The sequence below is a fragment of the Homo sapiens genome, chromosome 15 (genome assembly GCF_000001405.40).
Source record: "Homo sapiens chromosome 15, GRCh38.p14 Primary Assembly".
In the NCBI taxonomy this organism is placed as follows: Eukaryota; Metazoa; Chordata; class Mammalia; order Primates; family Hominidae; genus Homo; species Homo sapiens.
The window spans coordinates 72,411,679-72,437,833 of record NC_000015.10 but is presented as its reverse complement, the minus strand read 5'-3'; the positions used below and the strand labels follow the sequence as shown (position 1 = coordinate 72,437,833).

At 37.7% G+C, this 26,155-nt stretch overlaps 1 long non-coding RNA gene across 1 annotated transcript in view; it reads left to right on the top strand.

The window, feature by feature from the left end:
- The window catches only part of TMEM202-AS1 (TMEM202 antisense RNA 1), a 66,461-nt gene that overhangs the window by 36,406 nt on the left and 3,900 nt on the right, over positions 1-26,155 (top strand). Inside the window, exon 2 of the long non-coding RNA NR_135678.1 lies at positions 16,233-16,409. This is a non-coding gene — a long non-coding RNA (TMEM202 antisense RNA 1). The remainder of the gene's footprint in view (positions 1-16,232; positions 16,410-26,155) is intronic.

Genomic DNA, 26,155 nt, shown 5'->3' with positions numbered 1-26,155 from the left:
AATCTTATATTCAGCAAAACTGTCCTTCAAAAGTGAGGCAGAAATTAAGACCTTTCCAGGTAAATAAAAACTGAGGGAGCCTGTTACCACTGGACTTGCCCTGCAAGAAATGCTCAAAGTATCACTAGTGAGACAAAATAAGAAAAACACACTCAAGGGAGTCCTGCAGGATGAAATGATCGGACACTCAACAGTAACTCAAAGCCATATGAACAAATACAGATCTAAATAAAGGTAAATTTATGGCAATTATAAAAGCTAGTATTATTATAACAATGGTTTGTAACTTCACTTTTTGTTTTCTACATGCTTTAAAAGACTAACACTTTTTAGTATTATTGTAACTTTGGTTTACAACCCCATATTGTGTTTTCTACACAATTTAAGAGAGTAGTGCATTTAAAAGAATTATTCATTTATGGTCAGGCATGGCGGCTCATGCCTGTAATCCCAGCACTTTGGGAAGCCATGGTGGGAAAATCACTTAAGATCAGGAGTTTGAGACCAACTTGGCCAATGTGGTGAAACCCCATCTCTACTAAAAATACAAAAATTAGGCAGGCGCGGTAGTGGGCACCTGTAATCCCAGCTACTTGGGAGGCTGAGGTGGGAGAATCACTTGAACCCAGGAGGCAGAGGTTGCAGTGAGCTGAGATTGCACCACTGCACTCCAGCCTGGGCGACAGAGTGAGACTCCATTAAAAAAAAAAAAAAAGACTTGTTAGTTTATATTTTGGGGCACACAATCTGTAAAATATAATTTTGTGACATCATCAACCAAAGGGTGGAGACAGAGCTGTAAAGGAGTAGAATTTTTGCATGTTATTGAAGTTAAGCTGGTATAGTTCAAATTAGAGTGTTATAACTCATTATAACTTTCAGAGATTAAAGTATTATGAACATTTGTGTCAGTCTGTTTTGTGTTGCAGTAAAGGAATACCTGAGACTAGGCAATTTATAAAGAAAGAGGTTTATTTTGGCTTATGGTTCTGCAGGCTGTACAAGAAGCATAGTGCCATATCTGTCTATGGTGAGGCCTTAGGAAGGCAAAGCGGGAGCTGGTGTATCACATGGTGAGAGAGGGAGTGAGAGAGGAGGAGGAGCCAGGATTCTTTAAACGACCAAATGAAAAATTCTGGAGAAGAAATGATCTGAGTAAAAAAATTAAATAAACAAAAAAATAAACAACCAGCTCTCATGTAAACTAACTGAGTGAGAACTCACTCATCACCAAGGGAATAGTGCTTGGCCCCACCTGCAACATTGGGGATCACATTTCAGCATGAGACTTGAAGGAGGACACACATCCGAACCATATCAGCATTGATATAAAATCCTCAACAAAATACCAGCAAACCGAATTTAGTAACGTATAAAAAAGGAATATGCACCATGGCCATGTGGTTTTTTTTTTTCTGGAATGCAACAATGGTTCCATATATGAAAATCAATCAATGGAATACACCACATTAACAGAATGAATGGAAAAAGCACATGATCATCTTGACTGATGTAGAAAAAGCATTTGACAAACTCCAACACCCTTTCATGATAAAAACACTCAACAAACTAGAAATAGAAGGAAATTACCTCAACATAATAAAAGCTATGTGTGAAAAACCCACAGCAAACACCATACTCAGTGGTGAAAAACTGAAAGCTTTTCCTCCAAGACCAGGTACAAGACAAGTTTACCCACTTTTGCCACGTCTATCAACATAGTACTAAGTTCTAGCTGGAGCAATTAGGCAAGAAAAAGAAATAAAAGGCTTCCAAATCAGAAAGCAAGAAGTTAAATTATCTGTGTTTGCAGATGAATGATTTTATATGTAGAAAACCCTAAGGATTACACACACAACTGTTAGAGCTAATAAATGAATTCAGCAAAGTAGCAGGATACAAAGTCAGCACAAAAAATCAGGTGCCTTTCTATACATTAACAATGAGGAAGCTGGGTGTGGTGGCTTACACCTGTAATCCCATCACTTTGGGAGGCTGAGGTGGAAGGTCATTGAGCTCAGGAGTTTGAGACCAGCCTGGGCAACTTAGTGAGACACTGTCTCTACAAAAAAATTGAAAAAATTAGGCTAAATACTGCGTGCCTGTAGTCCCAGCTACTCTTGAGGCCGAGGTGTTAGGATTGCTTGAGCCTGGGAGGTGGTGGCTGCAGTGAGCCGTGGTCATGCCACAGCTCTCCGGCCTGGGCTACAGAGCCAAGGCCCTGTCTCAAAAGAAGAAGAAGAAGGAGAAGGAGAATCTAAGAAGGAAATTATAAATACAATTCCATTTACAATAGCATCAAAAAGAATAAAATACTTAGGAAATAACTTACCCAAGGAGGTAAATGATTTGTATAATGAAAACTGCAAAATTTACTCAAATAAGTTAAAGAAGATATAAATAAATGCTCATGGACTGGAAGATGTAATATTGTTAAGATCAATACTGTCCAGAGTGATCTATAGATTCAATGCAATCCCTATCAAAATCCCAATGACATTTTTTGAGAAATAGAAAAACCCATTCTAAAATTCATATGGAATCTCAAGGAACTTTAAATAGCGAAAACAATCTTGAAAAAGACAGACAAAGCTGGAGGACTCACGAGTCCTGATTTCAAAACTTACTGGCGTAAAGACAGACATGTAGCCCATGAAATAAAATAGAGAGCTCAGAAATAAACCCTCATATATATGGTCTTTTCAACAAATGGTGCTAGAAAAACTCGACATCCACTTGCAAAAGAATGGAGTTGGATCCTTATCTAACACTGTATACAAAAATTAACTCAACATGGATTAAATACCTAAAACTATAAAATATTTTTTAGAAGAAAAATGTAAGGAACATGTTCCACAACGTTGGATTTGGCAAGGATTTCTTGGACATGACACCAAAAACACAGGACACAACAACAAAAAAGTGGAGGCTGAACACAGTAGCTCATGCCTGTAATCCTAACACTTTGACAGGCCGAGGCAGGTGGATCAGTTGAGCCCAGGAATTCGAGACTTGCCTGGGAAAAATAGTGAGACCCTGACTCATAAAAAAAAAGACAAAGAACAAGAGGAAGAAAAATAAAAAAATAGACAATTTGGACTTGATGAAAATTTAAAATTTTTCTGCCTCAAATGACAATATAAATAGAGTAAAAGGGCAATCCACAGAATGGGAGACTATATTTGCAAGTCATATATCTGATAAAGGGTTAATATCCAGAATCTGTAGAGAAACTTCTTCTTCTTTTTTATTCATCATTGTCTTTATTTTATAGTAGGAAAACTAAGGCATTCATGAAAAATGAAATTATTTGCACAATGCATAATGTAGTCAAAGACCTTGACACAGAATCAGTGTCTTAACCATAATTTCTCACCTTTAATCAATAAGCATTATTCCTCTTTAAAGACAATGAAAAATCACTCATGTTAAATATAGTTAAAATAAGCATCATTAATTAAACACTACATCTCTCTAACCTCTTTACATTCATTAACACTCTGGAGTAAAAACAATGATAGTATTTGTTATGCCTTTGTGTTTCTTTAAAATATTAACTAAAATAGATTCCTAATTTGGGAAACATAATAACAAATGCCATTTGGTTTTAAAAAGAATTGTATCTTAATCATCAAGCCAAAGACATAGCAAGAAAACAATGACATGGTCACTTGAAGGTTGTCTCAGTCTACTTTTCACCATCTAATCAGACCCCTTTAAAGGAATTCCAGCAAAAAGTTTAAGAAATTCATGGATCAACTTCCAAAGCACATCAGGGAAAGTGCTAATACAGTGGACAGCAAGAACAAGTATAGCAGCAGACCATCTTATTTAAACTTTTGAGATAATAAAACAATACAGAACTCAACATCAGAAATCCTAACAACCCAATTCAAAAGTGGGCAAAAGACTTGAGTATACATTCCTCTGAAGAAGATATGTAAATGACTGACAAGCACATAAAAAGATGCACAACATCTCAGTCATTAGGGAAATGCAAATCAAAACTACAGTAAGATACAACTTCATATTCATTATGACGGTTATTATATTAAAATGTTGGCAAGGATGTGGAGAAATTGGAACTCTTGTACACTGTTGATGGAATGTAAAATGGTGTAGCCACTGTTTAAATCAGTATGGAAGTTACTCAAAAAATTAAAAATAGAATTACCATATGATCCAGCAATTCCACTTCTGAGTATATACCCAAAATAATTGAAAGAAGGGTCTTGAAGAGGCATTTGTACACTGTTGTTCATAGTGGCAGTATTCACAATAGCTAAACCATGGAAGCAACCCAAGTACCCATCAACAGATGAGTGAATACGCAAAATATGATATATACATACAATGGAACATAATTCACTCCTAAAAAGGAAGGAAATTCTGACACATGCTATAATATGAATGAAACTTGAGGACAGTATGCTAAGTGAAATGCACCATTCACTAAAACTGTTTGATTCTGTTTACATGAGATATTTACAGTAGTCAAAATCATAGAGACAGAAAATAGAAAGGTGGTTTCTAGGAGTTGGGGGAAGTGGAGAATGGAGGGTTATTGTTTAACGGGTATAGAGTTTTGAGTTTACAAGATGCAGAGTTATCAATGGATGATGGTGATGGTTGCACAATATTATGAAGATATTTAACACTGAAGTGTACACTTAAAAGTGGTTAAGATGGCAAATTTTATGTTGTGTATATTTTACCACAATAAAAAAACTGGAAAAAAAATCCAAGCAGGTTATATTGTAGATGTAAACAAATTTATCCTAAAGTTTACATGGAGAAGAGACCCAGAATAGCCAACACAACATTGAAGGAGAAGAACAAAGTTAGAAAACTGACACTAGCTGACTTTAAGACTTACTGTGAAGCTATAGTGATGAACACAGTGTGGTATTCGTGAAAAAATAAACAAATAAATCAATGGAACAGATTAGAGAACACAGAAATAGAGCCACATAAACACAGCCAACTGATGTTTGATAAAGAAGCAAAGATAACATAATGGATCAAAGATAATCTTTTCAACAAATAGTGCTGAAATCACTGGACATACACATGCAAAAAAATTGAATCTAGATACAGACATAATACCCTTCACAAAAATTAATTCAAAATTGGCCACAGACCTAAATGTAAAATGCAAAACTATAGGACTCCTAGAAGATAACATAGAAAAAAATCTAAGTGACTGTGGGTATGATGATGTCTTTTTAGACACACCAAAAGCATGATTTATGAAATAAATAATTGATAAACTGAACTTCATTAGAACTTTCTGCTCTGTGAAAGACACTGTCAAGAGAATAAAAGCAACATGGCCAAACCCCATCTCTACAAAAATACACAAATTAGCTAGGCATGGTGGCATGTCCCACCTGTAGTCCCAGCTATTCCAGAGGCTGAGATGGGAGGATCGCTTGCGCCCAGCAGTTAAAGGCTGCAGTGAGTTATGATGGCACCACTTTACTATAGCCAGGGCAACAGAGCAAGACCTTGTCTTTAAATATATATATGTATACATGTATATATGTATGTGTGTATATATACGTATATGTATATATATGTTTATATATATTTATTTATATTAAAAGCAAGTCACACACTGGGGGAAAATACTTGCAAAAATATATCTGCTAAAGGACTGTTATTCAAAATATACAAAGAATTGTTGAAACTTCACAATAAAAAAACAAATAACCTAATTTAAAAATGGGCCAAAGATCTTAACAGACACCTCACTAAAGAAGATACACAGACGGCAAAAAATATATTAAAAAATATTTTTAAAATTCATAAAGCAAGTCCTTAGAGACCTACAAAGAGACTTAGACTCCCACACAATAATAATGGGAGACTTTAACATCCCACTGTCAACATTAGACAGATCAACGAGACAGAAAGTTAACAAGGATACCCAGGAATTGAACTCAGCTCTGCACCAAGCAGATCTAATAGACATCTACAGAACCCTCCACCCCAAATCAACAGAATATACATTCTTTTCAGCACCACACCACACCTATTCCAAAATTGACCACATAGTTGGAAGTAAAGCACTCCTCAGCAAATGTAAAAGAACAGAAATTACAACAAACTGTCTCTCAGACCACAGTGCAATCAAACTAAAACTCAGGATTAAGAAACTCACTCAAAACCGCTCAACTACATGGAAACTGAACAACCTGCTCCTGAATGACTACTGGGTACATAACGAAATGAAGACAGAAATAAAGATGTTCTTTGAAACCAACGAGAACAAAGACACGACATACCAGAATCTCTGGGACACATTCAAAGCAGTGCGTAGAGGGAAATTTATAGCACTAAATGCCCACAAGAGAAAGCAGGAAAGATCCAAAATTGACACCCTAACATCACATTTAAAAGAACTAGAGAAGCAAGAGCAAACACATTCAAAAGCTAGCAGAAGGCAAGAAATAACTAAGATCAGAGCAGAACTGAAGGAAATAGAGACAAAAAACCCTTCAAAAAATCAATGAATCCAGGAGCTGGTTTTTTGAAAGGATCAACAAAATTGATAGACCACTAGCAAGACTAATAAAGAAGAAAAGAGAGAAGAATCAAATAGATGCAATAAAAAATGATAAAGGGGATATCACCACCGATCCCACAAAAATACAAACTACAATCAGAGAATACTATAAATACCTCTACACAAATAAACTAGAAAATCTAGAAGAAATGGATAAATTCCTCAACACATACACCATCCCAAGACTAAACCAGGAAGAAGTTGAATCTCTGAATAGATCAATAACAGGCTCTGAAATTGAGGCAATAATTAATAACTTACCAACCAAAAGAAGTCCAGGACCAGATGGATTCACACCTGAATTCTACCAGAGGTACAAGGAGGAGCTGGTACCATTCCTTCTGAAACTATTCCAATCAATAGTAAAAGAGGGATTCCTCCCTAACTCATTTTATGAGGGCAGCATCATCCTGATAACAAAGTCTGGCAGAGACACAACAAAAAAAGAGAATTTAAGACCAATATCCCTGATGAACATCAATGCAAAAATCCTCAATAAAATACTGGCAAACCAAATCCAGCAGCACATCAAAAAGCTTATCCACCATGAACAAGTGGACTTCATCCCTGGGATGCAAGGCTGGTTCAACATACGCAAATCAATAAATGTAATCCAGCATATAAACAGAACCAACGACAAAAACCACATGATTATCTCAATAGATGCAGAAAAGGCCTTTGACAAAATTCAACAACTCTTCATGCTAAAAACTCTCAATAAATTAGGTATTGATGGGACGTATCTCAAAATAATAAGAGCTATCTATGACAAACACACAGCCAATATCATACTGAATGGGCAAAAACTGGAAGCATTCCCTTTGAAAACTGGCACAAGACAGGGATGCCCTCTCTCACCACTCCTATTCAACATAGTGTTGGAAGTTCTGGCCAGGGCAATCAGTCAGGAGAAGGAAATAAAGGGTATTCAATTAGGAAAAGAGGAAGTCAAATTGTCCCTGTTTGCAGATGACATGATTGTATATCTAGAAAACCCCATCGTCTCAGCCCAAAATCTCCTTAAGCTGATAGGCAACTTCAGCAAAGTCTCAGGATACAAAATCAATGTGCAAAAATCACAAGCATTCTTATACACCAATAAGAGACAAACAGAGAGCCAAATCATGAGTGAACTCCCATTCACAATTGTTTCAAAGAGAATAAAATACCTAGGAATCCAACTTACAAGGGATGTGAAGGACCTCTTCAAGGAGAACTACAAACCACTGCTCAATGAAATACAAGACGAGACAAACAAATGGAAGAACATGCTCATGGGTAGGAAGAATCAATATCGTGAAAATGGTCATACTGCCCAAGGTAATTTATAGATTCAATGCCATCCCCATCAAGCTACCAATGACTTTCTTCACAGAATTGGAAAAAACTACTTTAAAGTTCATATGGAACCAAAAAAGAGCCCGCATTGCCAAGACAATCCTAAGCCAAAAGAACAAAGCTGGAGGCATCACGCTACCTGACTTCGAACTACACTACAAGGCTACAGTAACCAAAACAGCATGCTACTTGTACCAAAACAGAGATATAGACCAAAGGAACAGAACAGAGCCCTCAGAAATAATGCCGCATATCTACAACTATCTGATCTTTGACAAATCTGACAAAAACAAGAAATGGGGAAAGGATTCCCTATTTAATAAATGGTGCTGGGAAAACTGGCTAGCCATATGTAGAAAGCTGAAACTGGATCCCTTCCTTCCACCTTATACAAAAATTAATTCAAGATGGATTAAAGACTTAAATGTTAGACCTAAAACCATAAAAACTCTAGAAGAAAACCTAGGCAATACCATTCAGGACATAGGCATGGGCAAGGACTTCATGTCTAAAACACCAAAAGCAATGTCAACAAAAGCCAAAATTGACAAATGGGATCTAATTAAACTAAAGAGCTTCTGCACAGCAAAAGAAACTGCCATCAGAGTGAACAGGGAACCTACAGAATGGGAGAAAATTTTTGCAATCTACTCATCTGACAAAGGGCTAATATCCAGAATCTACAATGAATTCAAACAAATTTACAAGAAAAAAACAAACAACCCCATCAAAAAGTGGGCAAAGGATATGAACAGACACTTCTCAAAAGAAGACATTTATGCAGCCAACAGACACATGAAAAAATGCTCATCATCACTGGCCATCAGAGAAATGCAAATCAAAACCACAGTGAGATACCATCTCACACCAGTTAGAATGGCGATCATTAAAAAGTCAGGAAACAACAGGTGCTGGAGAGGATGTGGAGAAATAGGAACACTTTTACACTGTTGGTGGGACTATAAACTAGTTCAACCATTGTGGAAGTCAGTGTGGCGATTCCTCACGGATCAGGAACTAGAAATACCATTTGACCCAGCCATCCCATTACTGGGTATATACCCAAAGGAGTATAAATCATGCTGCTATAAAGACACATGCACACGTATGTTTATTGCAGCACTGTTCACAATAGCAAAGACTTGGAACCAACCTAGATGTCCATCAATGATAGACTGGATTAAGGAAATGTGGCACATATACGCCATGGAATGCTGTGCAGCCATAAAAAAGGATGAGTTCATGTCCTTTGTAGGGACATAGATGAAGCTGGAAACCATCATTCTCAGCAAACTATCGCAAGGACCAAAAACCAAACACTGCATGTTCTCACTCATAGGTGGGAATTGAACAATGAGAACACTTGGACACAGGAAGGGGAACATCACACCCCAGGGCCTGTTGTGGGGTGGGGGGAGTCGGGGGGGGGAGGGATAGCATTAGGAGATATACCTAATGTTAAATGACGAGTTAATGGGTGCAGCCCGCCAACATAGCACATGTATACATATGTATCAAACCTGCACATTGTGCACATGTACCCTAGAACTGAAAGTATAATAAAAAAAAATTCCACATCCTATGTCATCAGGGAAATGGAAATTAAAATGAAACACCACAACACCTATTACATTAGCCAAAATCCAGAACACTGTCAACACCAAATGCAGTCAAGGATGTGGAGCAATAGGAACTCTTATGCATTGCAGGTAGGGATGAAAATGGTACAGCCACTTTGGAAGAAAGTTTGGTAGTTTCAATGAATTGGTGGTGGTGGTTGTTGTTTGGTTTTTATGCACGGTTTTCTTTATATTTTCTTTCTTTTTTTGTTTTGCATTTATTAAAATTTGAGATAAAATTCACCATTCAAAAGTGTATGATTCAGTTGGGTTTTTTTACAATCATTTTTAATAGACTTTAACCTTTAGAGCAGTTTTAGGTTCATAGCAAAATTAAGCAGAAGCTACAGAGATTTCCCATATATCCCCAAAACAACCCCATAGCAACAGCCATACCATTACCATATAATTCAGCAATTATGCCCTTTGGTATTTGCCCAGTTGAGTTGAAAACTTATGTCCACACAAAATCCTGCACATAGCAGCCTTATTTATAATTGCCAAAACTTGGAACCAACCAAAATGTCCTTCGGTAGGCAAATGGATAAATAAACTCTGATACATCCAAACAAAATAACATTACTCAGTGCTAAAAGGAAATGAGCTATCAAGCCATGATAAGATACAAAGGAAACTTAAGTGCATATTACTAAGTGAAAGAAGCCAGTCTGAAATGGCTTCATGCTGCATGATTCCAATGATATGACATTCTGGAAAAGGCTAAACTATGGAGACAGTATAAAGATGAGTGGTTGACAGTAGTTAGCCATGAGGGAGAGATCATTAGGCAGAGACCAGAAGATGTTTAGGGCAGTGAAACTACTCTGTAAGATACTATAATGGTGGATATATGTCATACAAATTTATTCAAACTTACAGAATGTACAACACCAAGAGTGAACACAAATGTAAACTATGTGCATTGGGTGACAATGATGTGTTAGTGTAGGTTCATCAGTTGTAACAAGTGTACACTCCGTTAGGGGTTATTGATAACAGGGGAGGCTATGCATGTGTGTGGACTGGGGGTATTTGGGAAATCTTTATAACTTCTGCTTAATTTTGCTGTGAACCAAAACTGCTCTGAAAAATAAAGTCTATTAAAAATTATTGTCAAGAAAGTCTGGTGAATTGTACACTTTCAAATGATAAATTTTATATGGTTTATCTCAATTTTTAAAAATGCAAAAAAGAAAGAAAATGTAAAGAAAATAGTGCATAAAACCCAACACAACAACAAGCAATACTTTGAAGGTATTGAAGAGTGACCAAAAATAGTCACAAACTGGAGGGAAGTCTACCCTTCAAAGGTGTCTATAAAGTCAGAGATTTGTGGGTTTGTGGGTTTTTGCCTGAGATAACTCCCCAGCTTCTATGCAGCTCAGGAAGTAGAAAGCCATGGCTTACTGGCTTGATGTGTCAAAAAACAAAATATCAGCCTAGTAGAGTATCCAGAAAGTTAGGGGGAAATCATGAAAAAGAGTGGGTTGCAGAGGAGATGAGCTTTAAGACCTGCATATAAAATCAGACTACATTCTTGGCTCATGACTAAACTACATATCCATGGGGGTGACTCCGGAGAGCCTTATGGAAAAACAGCATTTGGAAGCTTAAAGGACTGTGCAAGATTTTACCTGTTGCCTACTGTGTAGGAGACAGCATTTGGAGAATGAGGTCAGGCAAGTTAACTGTCTTTTAGAGCAAACTCATCTTCGGAGGAAGATGGAAAAGTGTAGAGGTTGTTACAATGTATCAAACATAATGTACAGTAGTCAATTAAAAAAATCACTAAACCTGTGAAGAAACAGGAAAATATAATCCATACTCAAGTAAAAGTTATCATTACTTTTACTTGAGTAAAAGTAATTATCATTTTTATAATAACTTAGAAGATAAATGAATAATGAATGAACAGTTACAGCCTCTTAACATGGATACAGAAAGTATAAAACAAACTAGAAATTCTGGAATTGAAAAATACAACAAGTAAAATTTAAAAATTGGCCTATGGGTTAACCCTGCTCCACAAGGAGCAGTAAAAAAAAATAATTAAAAAAATGAAATGAAATGAAAAATTCACTGTATGTTCTCAACAGCAGGTTGGAGGCAGTGAGGAAAAAAGTGCCAGTGAACTTGGAAATAAGTTAATAGAATTGGACCAATCTGAAGAATGGAGAGGAAAAGAAGACTGAAGAAAAACAAACAGCATCAGAGTCCTGTTGAATAACAACAAGAAGTAGAACAAGAGCCCTAGAATGAGTAGGATTGAGGCAGAAAAAAATACTTGAAAAAGTAATGGCTGAAAACTGATCAAATTTTATAAAAGATTTTGACATACAGATCCAAAAAGCTCAAAGAATTCAAAGTAGGATGAATACAAAGAAACTCCACACCTAAGCACACTGTAATCAAACTGCTGAAACCAAAAATAAAGTCTTGAAAGCAGCCAGAGGAAAGCCACATGTGACAGAGGAACAATTATATGTGTATGTGTGTGTGTGTGTATGTATGTGTATATATATAATATATATAATACATATATAATATATAAAATATACATATATATTATATATATATTATATATAATATATTATATATATTATATATAATATATTATATATATTATATATAATATATTATATATATTATATATAATATATTATATATAATATATTATATATATATTATATATAATATATTATATATATATATATATATATATATCAGCTGACTTCTCGATGGAAATAATGGGGCCTAGAAAACAATGGAATGACATCGCTAAAATGTCAAAAGACAAAATATTGTCAACTCAGAATTCTACATCCAGCAAAATTATCTTTCAACAATTAAAGTGAAATAAAGCCATTCTCAGACACATAAGAACAGAAAATTCATTGCCAGCAGACCTCCACCACAAGAAATGTTAAAAGAAGTTATTCAGTCTGATGAGATGTGCCATCAAGTAGTAACTCAGATCTATAGTGATGAATGCATGTAACTGGAAACTGATATGGTTAATATAATTTTTAAAACTTCTGGTCATTAAAAGACACTATTAAGAAAATGAGTAGGCAAGCCACAAGCTGGGAGAAAAGATTTGCAAAACATATCTGACAAAGAACTTGTATCCACAATACATAAAGAACTCCTACAATTAATAATAAAATATAACCTAATTTTAAAAATAAGAGGACAAATTAAAGACACAAAGGAAGTTATACGAATGGGTGTGGAAAAGGTACTCAAAATCGTTAAACACCAGGGAAATGCAAATTAAAACATAATGAGGTGCCATTTTATATTCACTAGGAAGGCTAAATTTAAAAGGATTAACAACAACAAATGTTGGCAAAAATGTAGAATAGCAAAAATTGATGTTATCTTCTGTCACCCTAATCCTCCAAAATCTTGTCCTTGTCTGCTCTTCACATCCTTCCAGCCTCATCTTTGCCACTCTTTTCTGTGACTACTGCTCTCAAGCCACGCTGGCTTTCTTTTAGTATCAGGAACATCCTAAACTCCTTCTTGCAAATGCTGTTCTTCAGCTGCTCCTTCTCCTGGCCAAACTCTACTCTGCAAATCTTAGATTAAATCTTCCTTAGTGAAGTCTTCCTTGACATTACACTTCAGCATGGATTGAGTAATCTCTGTATTACACACTCATAGTATTCTATACTTGTCCTTCTTAGCATTTAACACAATTGTAACTAAGTAATTATTTGTGGCATAATCTGCTTCTCCACTAAATTACAAGCTCCAGAAAACAGCATGAGTCTGTCTTTTTATCTCAGATCCATTGTAAGCACTCAAGAAATATTTGTTAAATTAATGAATGAAAAGGAAATGAGATCAAAATAAAACAAGCCAGGGCCAATTTCTGAGTGGTAAACATGATGTCAACATTGTATATAGATTGGTAGATCTGTATCAATGGTCCAAGAATGAGACCAGCTCCCTCCTCCTCATATGAAGTAGCGAAGTTTTCCTAGACTTGCCTGGTATGATTTTCTTAGTGATTATTCAGGTAGGAGGCAGTTTCTCATTTTTCTGGCTCATCTCTTTCCCAGTATATCATTGATAGAAGCTGAACTTAATGCCCCAAATGGCATCAGTACTTTCTCTTTTTTGAGACGGGGTCTCGCTCTGTCATCCAGGCTGGAGTGCAGTGGCGCAATCTTGGCTCACTGAAGTCTTCACCTCCCAGGTTCAAGCGATTCTCCCATCTCAGCCTCCCAAGTAGCTGGGATTACAGGTATGCGCCACCACACCTGGCTAACTTTTGTATTTTTAGTAGAGATGGGGCTTCACCATATTGGCCAGGCTGGTCTCCAACTCCTGGCCTCAAGTGATCTGCCCGCCTCAGCCTCTGAAAGTGCTGGGATTACAGGCGTGAGCCACCACATCCAGCTGGCATCAATACTTTCTCCCATTTCACACTCTTCTTCTTCATCTCAGAATAACAGGACTGAATACAATATGAGAAAAAGGAGTATTTGGGGCCAGGTATTGTATAATGTGGTAGAAAACAGGATGAATCTTCATGTATAAAGTAGTTACAGATGGAATGTCAATGTCCTAAGAAGTAGCATTCTAGTTTCAACTAAGGTAGATGATGTCTATTTGTCAAGAGGAGAACGATATAACATCTTTAATTTGAGTTGTCTTTCTGGGCCGTAGTGCTAATTAGTTCCTTTGATCACTAGTGTGTGTCCTGTGGACCTTCTCAGACCTAGTAGTAGATGATTTCAGTGCTCTACCTGTATCCTGTGGGCCTTAACGCTTGTGTGTTTTCTGGCAGACTTCCAGTAGCCAACATCTGCATCTGTTTTCCTAAAGACTTTTGCTGGAGCCAGGGAAGGATTCTCTCCCTAAGCTGGCCCAGATGTTCTAAGGAATTAATATCTGGCTCTGAGTAGTCCTCAACCAGATCCCTGCCCCTGTGTGTGGGAGGTATAACTCTGAAGCATGGATTTTATGTTGCTTCCATTATCTCTGCAGGATTAAGCTCTTATTGACCATAGTGGAAGCAAGCTTGATAATGCATCCTTTATTGGTTCCCTTCTCTTCCCTTTTTCACTTCCTCACTTCCCCTCTTCTCTTTCCCACCTTATGTTCAGCTTTACATCTTGAGGTGGAGATCAAAATATGAAAAGGAGGAACTGTTGATGATGCTAGTTGGGGCATCAGCTCCCCACAGCATTCCATTTGTACCTTTCAAACAACATACATGTACTTGAATCTTTGTCTAGGATTGTTCTGAACATTGGACACCCAGCTAAAGAGGCAGAATCTACTACTTGCTCAAAACTGTTGTGGTTCTTAATCACAACACCTAAGGGAGGTAATAAAGTTCCAAGAGAAACAGTATGATAGTTCCTCAACATACCTCCAGTTAAGTCAAAGGACAGTGTAAAGAACAAACAGCAGACAAGAGAAGGTCATTCCGGTAGGAAGCAATCTGCCTATGGTCATTCTGGCAATATATGTTCCATTGTCCCACACAAAAACTAGACAATTGCTACTTAAGTCATTCAAGACCACAAAAGTTGTCATGTTCAGGATTAGTCATATTTGGTTTATTTCTGGAAATACTGGAACAAACCTTTTCTTTTCTTTTCTTTTCTTTTTTTTTTTTTTTTTTTTTTTGAGACTGAGTCTTGCTCTGTCGCCCAGGCTGGAGTGCACCGGCATGATCTCAGTTCACTGCAACCTCTGCCTCCTGGATTCAAGCGATTCTCCTGTCTCAGCCTCTGGAATAGCTGGAATTACAGGCATGTGCCACCATGCCTGGCTAATTTTTGTATTTTCAGTAGAGACGGGGTTTTGGCATGTTGGCCAGGCTGATCTCAAACTCCTGACCTCAGGTGATTCACCCATCTCGGCCTTCCAAAGTGCTGGGATTACAGGCATGAGCCACCTGCGCCCAGCCACCATTTCTTACTTGTTACAAAAAATTAGGAAAAATTTCGTACTTAAAGAAAAGTTATAATAGTTCAAAAACACCTAAACTCACTTTTTCCCTATATACTTTAACATTTGCTCTCTTGATTTATCTATATACATTGGGCTGTTTTATAAGGCCTCCTTGACTTCTATTTTTGCCACCAGCCAGCTCATGGATGACTATAGCCCATTTCATTTATTCTTTGGAACACTTAGCTGATGCCCCATCTATTTTTGAAAATAGTCTCCAATTCAGAGGTGATGGTAATATTTGAGTAAATATCTATTTTATTGAAATTCTACTGGGACCTTCTATTTCTGATCCTCTTATCAACTATTCTTTAGTTTCATATGTATCTATTGCCAGTTTAAGCTGCTTGTTGATTTGATTGCAGGGTTCATTCACTATACATTGGTGCCAGCTTCTGACTGACTATATTTATAACAGAGCCAATTATATCTGTTTCTTTGCACACTTGAACATTTACCTTGCCCTTTGGGATTATGAGTAGTTTTATGGCTTTAGCACAAATGCATTAATTAACTCAACAAATATTTATTAAACACCTATGCATACTAGACACTGTTCTACTCACTGAGCACATACCAGTGAACAAAACTGTAAAAGCCTTGCTGTCCTGAAGTTTACATTCCAGAGGGGTATATATTAGTCAGCTGCATTGCTGCAACAATGCTGCACAATAAATACTTCGAATGTTCTCAGTGACATACAATAACAGACTTTTTTTTTTCCTCACTCACAGGTCTGCAGATCAAAGTTTGGCTGATCTTGGCTGGGCTTGTCTATGTTTGGCTGGGCTAGGCTGGACTCCAATCTTCAGGTCAGGTTTACATCTGCTTCACATGTCTTCATCATTCTAGAACAAGTTGCCTGCCTGAGATACATTCTTCCCACAGTGGGGGACAGAAGTACAAGAGAGGTGAGTAGAAATACATAATGCCTTTTAAGGTCTCAACTCAGGATTGTCATGGTCACTTCTGCTTACATTCCATTAGCCAAACCATGCCATGATATGACTAACATCAAGGGAGCAGAGAAATATATTCCATCAACTACAGTGGGAGGCTTTGCAAAGTCACGTGGTGATAGGCATGGCTGGATAATTCTAATATTGGGATGGGGCAGTAAAGAATTGAGAACAATGGGCCAGGTGCTGTGGCTCATGCCTGTAATCCCAGCATTTTGGTAAGCCAAGGTGGGACGACTGCTTGAGCTCAGGAGTTCAAGACCAGCCTGGGCAAAAAAGCGAGACACCATCTCAATTAAAAAAAAAATTTTATTAACTGAAAAACAATTATCCAATCTACCATCAGGAAGGGTGGGAGAAAGAAAGTAAACTAAGGTATATCAAATACATAAAGCAAGTTGTGGGCATAGAGAATGAGTAATCTTTAAGATAGGGTGGGTCAGGAAAGGCTTTTCGGAAAAGGTGACACTAAAGCTGAGTCCTGAAGTAAAGAATCAAGATAATGGAGAGAACAGTGAATGAAAAAGTGCCAAGATGGGCACTTGCTTGAAAGGATCAAGGAACCACAAGGAAGCCAATGTGGCTGAAGCAGAATGAGGAAGAGGGAGAACAGCAGGAAATGAAACTGTCTAGAGATATAATTGCTGAGTCCTAAGATATCTGAAGCTCCTAGATTACTAAGTATTAAGAAATTAATTTCTAAAATTTTTTTTTTGAGACAACGTCTTACTCTGTTACCCAGGCTGGAGGACAGTGGAGTGATCCAACTCTTGGGCTCAAGCAATCCACCTGCTTCAGCCTCCCAAGATAGCTGGGAATACAGGTGTGCACCACTGTGGCTGGCTAACTTTTTTCTTTTTCGTAGAGATGAGGTCTCATTATGTTGCCCAGGCTGGTCTTGAACTCCTAAACTCAAGTGACCCTCCTGCCTCAGCCTCCCAAAGTGCTGTGATTACAGGCATGAGCCACTGTGCCCTACCTAAAATGTTTTTTAACCAGTTTGTACTCCCACCAGCAGTGTATACAAATTCCTATTTTATCAGAAGATAAGGGAAGAAAAAAAGTCTGATAATGTGAGCCTTTTAAATGTAATAATAATTTTATTATGTATTTACACATTTTACTATAACGTTATATTAATAATCTCATAATATGTATTATAATTTTATTAAACATTTTATTGTTAGTGTTTTGTTTTTTATTTCCCTAATTACTAGTAAAATTGAACAAACATCTTTCTTGTGTTATTAGCCATTTGGATTTCCTTTTGTAAATTAATTATGCAGATCCTTTGCCAAACTTTCTTTTCTCTCTCTCTCTCTCTCTCTTTTTTTTTTTTTAGAGCTGTGGTCTCACTGTGTTGCCCAGGCTGGAGTGCAGTGGTGTGATCATAGCTCACTGCAGCCTTGACCTCCTGGGCTCAAGCAATCCTCCCACCTTGGCCTCCTGCGTAGCTGAGACTACAGGCACGTACCAACACATCCAGCTAATTTTTTTTTTTTTTTTTTTTTTTACTTTTTGTAGAGACGAGTTCTCAATATGTTTTCCAGGCTGGTCTCACATTCCTGGGCTCAAGCAATCCTCCTGCCTTGGCCTCCCAAACTGCCTCGATTACAGGCATGAGCCACCGTGCCTGACCCCTTCACCAATTTTTCTATTGGGTAATTTGGCCCCATCCCTCCTTTTTCTTTGCATAGAGTTTATTTGTATATTCTAGATACTGATCCTTTGTTTGTTATATATAGTAAATATCTACTTACAAGCCAGCTTATCTCTTTGACTGCTTTATGTTATATCTTGTAGTATAGAAGTTTTAGGTTTTTGTGTTTTGTTTTATTTTGTTTCTTTGTTTTGTTTTGATAGAGTCTCTCTCTGTTGCCCAGGTTGGAGTGCAGTGGCATAATCCCGGCTCACTGCAACCTTCGCCTCCTGGGTTCAAGCAATTCTCCTGTCTCAGCCTCCCGAGTAGCTGGGACTACAGAAACGCACCACCACGCCCAGCTAATTTTTGTATTTTTAGTAGAGACAGGGTTTCACCATATTGGTCAGGCTGGTCTCGAACTCCTGACCTCAGGTGATCCACCCGCCTGGGCCTCCCAAAGTGTTGGGATTACAGGCGTGAGCCACGACATCCAGCCAAAGTTTTAGTTTTAAAACAGTAAAATGTATCAAGACTTTTTGTTGTGGTTTGTAAATGTTGTTTCTCTTAAGAACACCTAAATTCATAAAACTTTTATTATTATTCTCTAATTTTTTACCTTCAAAAATATTCTTGTTTATTTTGCAGAATTTCAAACCCAGAGAAAAGTTGAATACTAAAATGAATACTGTTATACCTCTCACCTATATTTATCAACTATTAACATCTTGACACATTTGCTCTCTCTATCTCTCTGTCTCTATGTGTATTTTTTTCCTTTTTGACAAAACATCTGAAAGTGAGTGTAGGCATTGTGATATTTTACCTCTAAATATTTCAGCTTATCTCGGCTGGGCGCAGTGGCTCACACCTGTAATTCCCAGCACTTTGGGAGGCTGAGGTGGGCAGATCACTTGAAGTCAAGAGTTCGACACCAGCCTGGCCAACATGGTGAAACCACATCTCTACTAAAAATACAAAAATTAGTTGGTATGGTGGTGCATGCCTGTAATTCCAGCTCCTCGGGAGTCTGAGGCGAAAGAATCGCTTGAACCCAGGAAGCAGAAGTTGCAGTGAGCCAAGCTCACGCCACTGCATTCCAACCTGGACGACAGAGTGACACAGTGTCTCAAAAAAAAAAAAAAAGATAAATATTTCAGCATATTTTCCAGGAAACAATGACATTCTCCTACATATCCACAGCATCATTACCACACCTGAGGGAAAAAATCGTTAATTCAACACAACTTCCAACATTCTTTTCATACTCAAATTTCCTAAATTGTCAAAGAAAAAGGTTTATGCTTTTTTTTTTTTTTTTTTGAGATGGAGTTTTGCTCTTATTGCCCAGGCTAGAGTGCAGTCGTGCAATCTTGGCTCACAGCAACCTCCATCTTCTGGTTTCAAGCAAGTCTCCTGCCTCAGCCTCCCAAGTTGCTGGGATTACAGCCTCCCGCCACCATGCTCAGCTAATTTTTTTGTATTTTTAGTAGAGACAGGGTTTCACCATGTTGGTCAGGCTGGTCTTGAACTGCTAACCTCCTGATCCACCCACCTTGGCCTCCCAAAGTGCTGGGATTACAGGCATGAGCCACCACACCCGGCCCAGTTTATACATTTTTTAAAAGTCCAGATTCAATGGATTTCATCTGACTGTTATATGCCTATAGTCTCCTCCAGTTTAAACAATACTATTACCTCCTTCTGCTCTTCATAATATTAAATCCTTACATAGTGGCCAGTTATCTCATAGACTGTCCCATATTCTGGATTTTTGTTTGACTATTTATCGTTAGATTTCGGGCAGACATTTCTAACAAAACACCACACAAGTGATGGTGTATACCTCCTACTGTATCATATCTAAAGGCACATGATGGGCTGGGTGTGGTTGTGCACACCTGCAATCCCAGTATTTTGGCAGGCCAAGGCAGGAGGATGACTTGAGGCCAGGAGTTCAAGGCTACAGTGAGCTATGATTACACCACTGCACACCAGCCTGGGCAACAGAGCGAGACCCTGTCTCAAAAAAAAACCGCACATGGTGACCACTTAGTTAAGATTGTGATTGCCAAATATTTGCATTGTAAAGATACATTTCCCCTTTGGAACTAATAAATATTTAGTGGAGTGATAATTTGATATCCTGTTTCCAAATAACCATTTAATGATGACCTATCGGTGATCCTTGCCTTAATTATGTTGCAGATTATAAAATAATGATTTTCAACTTCTATCATTCCTTCTATATTTATTAGCTGACATTCTTCTATACAAAAAAAAAGCTACCTCTACTTTTTTCCTTTTTCACTGACTCTGTCTTTTGTTGAATGTCACTATGGACTGATGGATTTTTTTTTTCCCAGAGTATATACTTTATTGGGACAGGAGAGGCTACGTGTGTCATGGTGTCTTTTTGCTATTTTCTTATTATTATTATACTTTAAGTTCTAGGGTACATGTGCACAACGTGCAGGTTTGTTACATATGTATACATGTGCCATGTTGGTGTGCTGCACCCATTAACTCGTCATTTACATTAGGTATATCTCCTAATGCTATCCCTCCCCACCCCACGACAGGCCCCGGTGTGTGATGTTCCCCTTCCTGTGTCCAAGTGTTCTCATTGTTCAATTCCCACCTGTGAGTGAGAACATGCGGTGTTTGGTTTTCTGTCCTTGCGATAGTTTGCCGAGAATGATGGTTTCCAGCTTCATCCATGTCCCTACAAAGGACATGAACTCATCATTTTTTATGGCTGCATAGTGTTCTATGGTGTATATGTGCCACATTTTCTTAATCCATTCTATCATTGTTGGACTTTTGGGTTGGTTCCAAGTCTTCGCTATTGTCAGTAGTGCCACAATAAACATACGTGTGCATGTGTCTTTATAGCAGCATGATTTATACTCCTTTGGGTATATACCCAGTAATGGGATGGCTGGGTCAAATGGTATTTCTAGTTCTAGATCCTTGAGGAATCGCCACACTGTCTTCCACAATGGTTGAACTAGTTTATAGTCCCACCAACAGTGTAAAAGTGTTCCTATTTCTCCACATCCTCTCCAGCACCTGTTGTTTCCTGACTTTTTAATGATCACCATTCTAACTGGTGTGAGATGGTATCTCATTGTGGTTTTGATTTGCATTTCTCTGATGGCCAGTGATGATGAGCATTTTTTCATGTGTCTGTTGGCTGCATAAATGTCTTCTTTTGAGACGTGTCTGTTCATATCCTTCGCCCACTTTTTGATGGGGTTGTTTGATTTTTTCTTGTAAATTTGTTTAAGTTCTTTGCGGATTCTGGATATTAGCCCTTTGTCAGATGGGTAGATTGCAAAAATTTTCTCCCATTCTGTAGGTTCCCTGTTCATTCTGATGGTAGTTTCTTTTGCTGTGCAGAAGCTCCTTAGTTTAATTAGATCCCATTTGTCAATTTTGGCTTTTGTTGCCATTGCTTTTGGTGTTTTAGACATGAAGCCCTTGCCCATGCCTATGTCCTGAATGGTATTGCCTAGGTTTTCTTCTAGGGTTTTTATGGGTTTAGGGCTAACATTTAAGTCTTTAATCCATCTTGAATTAATTTTTGTATAAGGTGTAAGGAAGGGATCCAGTTTCAGCTTTCTACATATGGCTAGTCAGTTTTCCCAGCACCATTTATTAAATAGGGAATCTTTTCCCCATTTCTTGTTTTTGTCAGGTTTGTCAAAGATTAGATGGTTGTAGATGTGTGGCATTATTTCTGAGGGCTCTGTTCTGTTCCATTGGTCTATATCTCTGTTTTGGTACCAGTACCATGCTGTTTTGGTTACTGTAGCCTTGTAATGTAGTTTGAAGTCAGGTAGCATGATGCCTCCATCTTTGTCCTTTTGGCTTAGGATTGTCTTGGCAATGCGGGCTCTTTTTTGGTTCCATATGAACTTTAAAGTAGTTTTTTCCAATTCTGTGAAGAAAGTCATTAGTAGCTTGATGGGGATGGCATTGAATCTATAAATTGCCTTGGGCAGTATGGCCATTTTCACGATATTGATTTTTCCTAGGACTCATGGATTTTTAAAAAAATTCAAAGTGTAATAATCTAGTACTTTCATTACTCTTTTTGATGCTTAGATTTCCTCTGGATCGGCCAGTGAAGGTCCCTAAAGTTTGCTTTTCACATATAGGCCTTTGATCTTTTGGAACTTAAAAACAAAAAGATCACAAAGCAGGGATGTAGTTTTATGTTTTTTTCCGTATTTAACCAGTTACATCAGCCCCATTAGGTGGACAGTCCATAGTTCCCTCATTCTGTTTTTTTTTTTTTAATGTTTCTTCTGTATTTCTAGGCTTTCTATTCTGTTCTGTTTATGTAATCATGTGCCAATACCACATTATCTATTTTTTTTTCTTTTTGAGAAGGAGGGAGAAACAGGGTGTCACTGTGTTGTTCAGGCTTGTTTTGAACTCCTGTCCTCAAGCGATCCTCCCACCTCAATCTCCCAAGTAGTTGGGATTATAGGTGTGAGCCACTGCACCTGACTTCCACAGTCTTAATTACAATAATTTGATAAGTCATCTTCACATCAGGTAATGTAAATGTCTCCATCCTTTTATTTTTCACAATTATCTTGGCCCTTTTGGGCCCTTTGCAAAAAGGACAGAATGAGCTGTCCTGAATTTGGGTACCTGACTCTTGTTCATTTTCCACAGAAAAAAAAATCTGTGAGATTTTTGTTGTGAATTGCATTGAATCCACAGGTTAATTTGGATATTTACCATCTTATAGATTCAAAATATTAAGCAGATATTGATAGTATTACAAGGAAAAAATTTAAAACGTGAAGCCATCATGGGAGACTTAACACAGAAAAACATAAAACAAAGAGTAGTAAAGATGGTGCGGTGTGGTGGCTCAGGCCTGTAATCCCAGCACTTTGGGAGGCCGAGGCAGGTGGATCACTTGAGGTCAGGGGTTCAAGACCAGCCTGGCCAACATGGTGAAACCCCGTCTCTACTAAAAATACAAAAATTAGCCAAGTGTGATGGTGAGTGCCTGTAATCCCAGCTACTCAGGAGGCTGAGGCAGGAGAATCACTTGAACCCGGGAGGCAGAGGCTGCAGGAAGCCAAGATCACGCCACTGCACTCCAGCCTGGGAGACAGAGCAAGACTCCATCTCAAAACAAACAAACAAAAACACCAAAGAGCAGTAAAGAAACAGAAGATTTAAACAATAAAATATGCTTGAGTAATGTATATGTAAATATGTATACCTACGTATATACTTTAGTTATGTCCTTTTCATGCTTTCACTCTTTTTTTTTTTTTTTTTTGCTTAATTAGGTTTACTTGTAGTTTGCCTTTCATTTAGTTTTTGTCCAAAGAAATAGATTTTAGTCTGTCATTTGAACCTAAGGTTTTTTCATATTTTTACAAAGTTTAGTTTAAAAATTTTCTTCCTTCTTTGGTCTTTTCTAGTTATTCTTTTACAGGTTCGTGAATTGCATGCATAACTCATTTATTTTAAACTATTTTTGTTGGTTGTTTTGTTTTTAATGCATCTATGGGTTTTGGTTATAGTAATTCTTTCATGGTTGTTTAGTTCTAAATATTTTATCATTTCCATTGTGATTTCCTTTTTACCCAATTTTTTTAGGGAGCATTATTTTGTCCTAAAAGATGTAGAGCTTTGTTTTTGTTTTTGTTTCTGTTTGTTTCTGTTTTGTTTTGTTTTGAAGAGTCTAGTTCTGTTACCCATGCTGGAGTGCAGTGACGTGATCTCAGCTCACTGCAACCTCTTCCTCCCAGGCTCAAGCAATTCTTGTGTCTCAGCCTCCCAAGTAGCTGGGACTACAGGCACCTGCCATTGCACCCAGCTATTTTTTTTATTATTATACTTTAAGTTCTAGGGTACATGTGCACAACATGCAGGTTTGTTACATATGTATTCATGTGCCATGTTGGTGTGCTGCACTCATTAACTCGTCATTTACATTAGGTATATCTCCTAATGCTATCCCTCCCCCCTCCCCACTCCCCCCACCCCACAACAGGCCCTGGAATGTGATGCTCCCCTTCCTGTGTCCAAGTGTTCTCATTGTTCAATTCCCACCTATGAGTGAGAACATGTGGTGTTTGGTTTTTGGTCCTTGCGATAGTTTGCTGAGAATGATGGTTTCCAGCTTCATCCATGTCCCTACGAAGGACATGAACTCATCATTTTTTATGGCTGCATAGTATTCCATAGTGTATATGTGCCACATTTTCTTAATCCAGTCTATCATTGTTGGACATTTGGGTTGGTTCCAAGTCTTTGCTATTGTGAATAGTGCCACAATAAACACACGTGTGCATGTGTCTTTATAGCAGCATGATTTATACTCCTTTGGGTATATACCCAGTAATGGGATGGCTGGGTCAAATGGTATTTCTAGTTCTACATCCCTGAGGAATCGCCACACTGACTTCCACAATGGTTGAAATAGTTTACAATCCCACCAACAGTGTAAAAGTGTTCCTATTTCTCCACATCCTCTCCAGCACCTGTTGTTTCCTGACTTTTTAATGATTGTCATTCTAACTGGTGTGAGATGGTATCTCGTTGTGGTTTTGATTTGCATTTCTCTGATGGCCAGTGATGATGAGCATTTTTTCATGTGTCTGTTGGCTGCATAAATGTCTTCTTTTGAGAAGTGTCTGTTCATATCCTTCGCCCACTTTTTGATGGGTTTGTTTGATTTTTTCTTGTAAATTTGTTTGAGTTCTTTGCGGATTCTGGATATTAGCCCTTTGTCAGATGGGTAGATTGCAAAAATTTTCTCCCATTCTGTAGGTTCCCTGTTCACTCTGATGGTAGTTTCTTTTGCTGTGAAGGAGCTCTTTAGTTTAATTAGATCCCATTTGTCAATTTTGGCTTTTGTTGCCATTGCTTTTGGCGTTTTAGACATGAAGTCCTTGCCCATGCCTATGTCCTGAATGGTAATGCCTAGGTTTTCTTCTAGGGTTTTTATGGTTTTAGGTCTAACATTTAAGTCTTTAATCCATATTGCATTAGATGGGGAAAAAACAGAGCAGAAAAACTGAAAATTCTAAAAATCAGAGCGCCTCTCCTCCTCCAAAGGAATGCAGCTCCTCACCAGCAACGGAACAAAGCTGGACGGAGAATGACTTTGATGAGTTGAGAGAAGAAGGCTTCAGACAATCAAACTTCTCCGAGCTAAAAGAGGAAGTTCGAACCCACAGCAAAGAAGTTAAAAACATTGCAAAAAGATTAGACGAATGGCTAACTAGAATAACCAATGCAGAGAAGTCCTTAAAGGACCTGATGGAGCTGAAAACCACGGCACGAGAACTACGTGACGAATGCACAAGCCTCAGTAGCCGATTTGATCAACTGGAAGAAAGGGTATCAGTGATGGAAGATCAAATGAATGAAATGAAGCGAGAAGAGAAGTTTAGAGGAAAAAGAATAAAAAGAAATGAAAAAAGCCTCCAAGAAATATGGGACTATGTGAAAAGACCAAATCTACGTCTGATTGGTGTACCTGAAAGTGACGGGGAGAATGGAACCAAGTTGGAAAACACTCTGCAGGATATTATCCAGGAGAACTTCCCCAATCTATTTTTTCTTTTTTTAAGTAGAGATGGGGTTTCACCATGTTGGCCAGGCTGATCTCAAACTCCTGGACTCAAGTGATCCATCTGCCTCTGCTTCCCAAAGTGCTGGGATTACAGGCATGAGCCACCATGTCTGGCCAAGTATTTTTTTTTAATCACTCTCATTATTGAGTTCTAATTTAATTTCATTACAGTCAGGATCCATGGACTGATATATCCTTTGACATTTATTAAAACTATATAGTATTTGGTCGATTTTTTGTAAGTACTCTAGATAGATCTAAAAATCAAAGTTTCTCTTTTTGTTGCTTGTGCTATCTAGATTTTATCCTATTGGATTTTTATTCCAATTAGTACTTTTTCATTTTAATGATTGATAGTTGGTTCTTTCTTATTTAAACCTGTTCTTGTTTTATTTCTACCTGTTTTTGTTTCACAGTTTTGGGTCTTTTTTTTAAATTTAT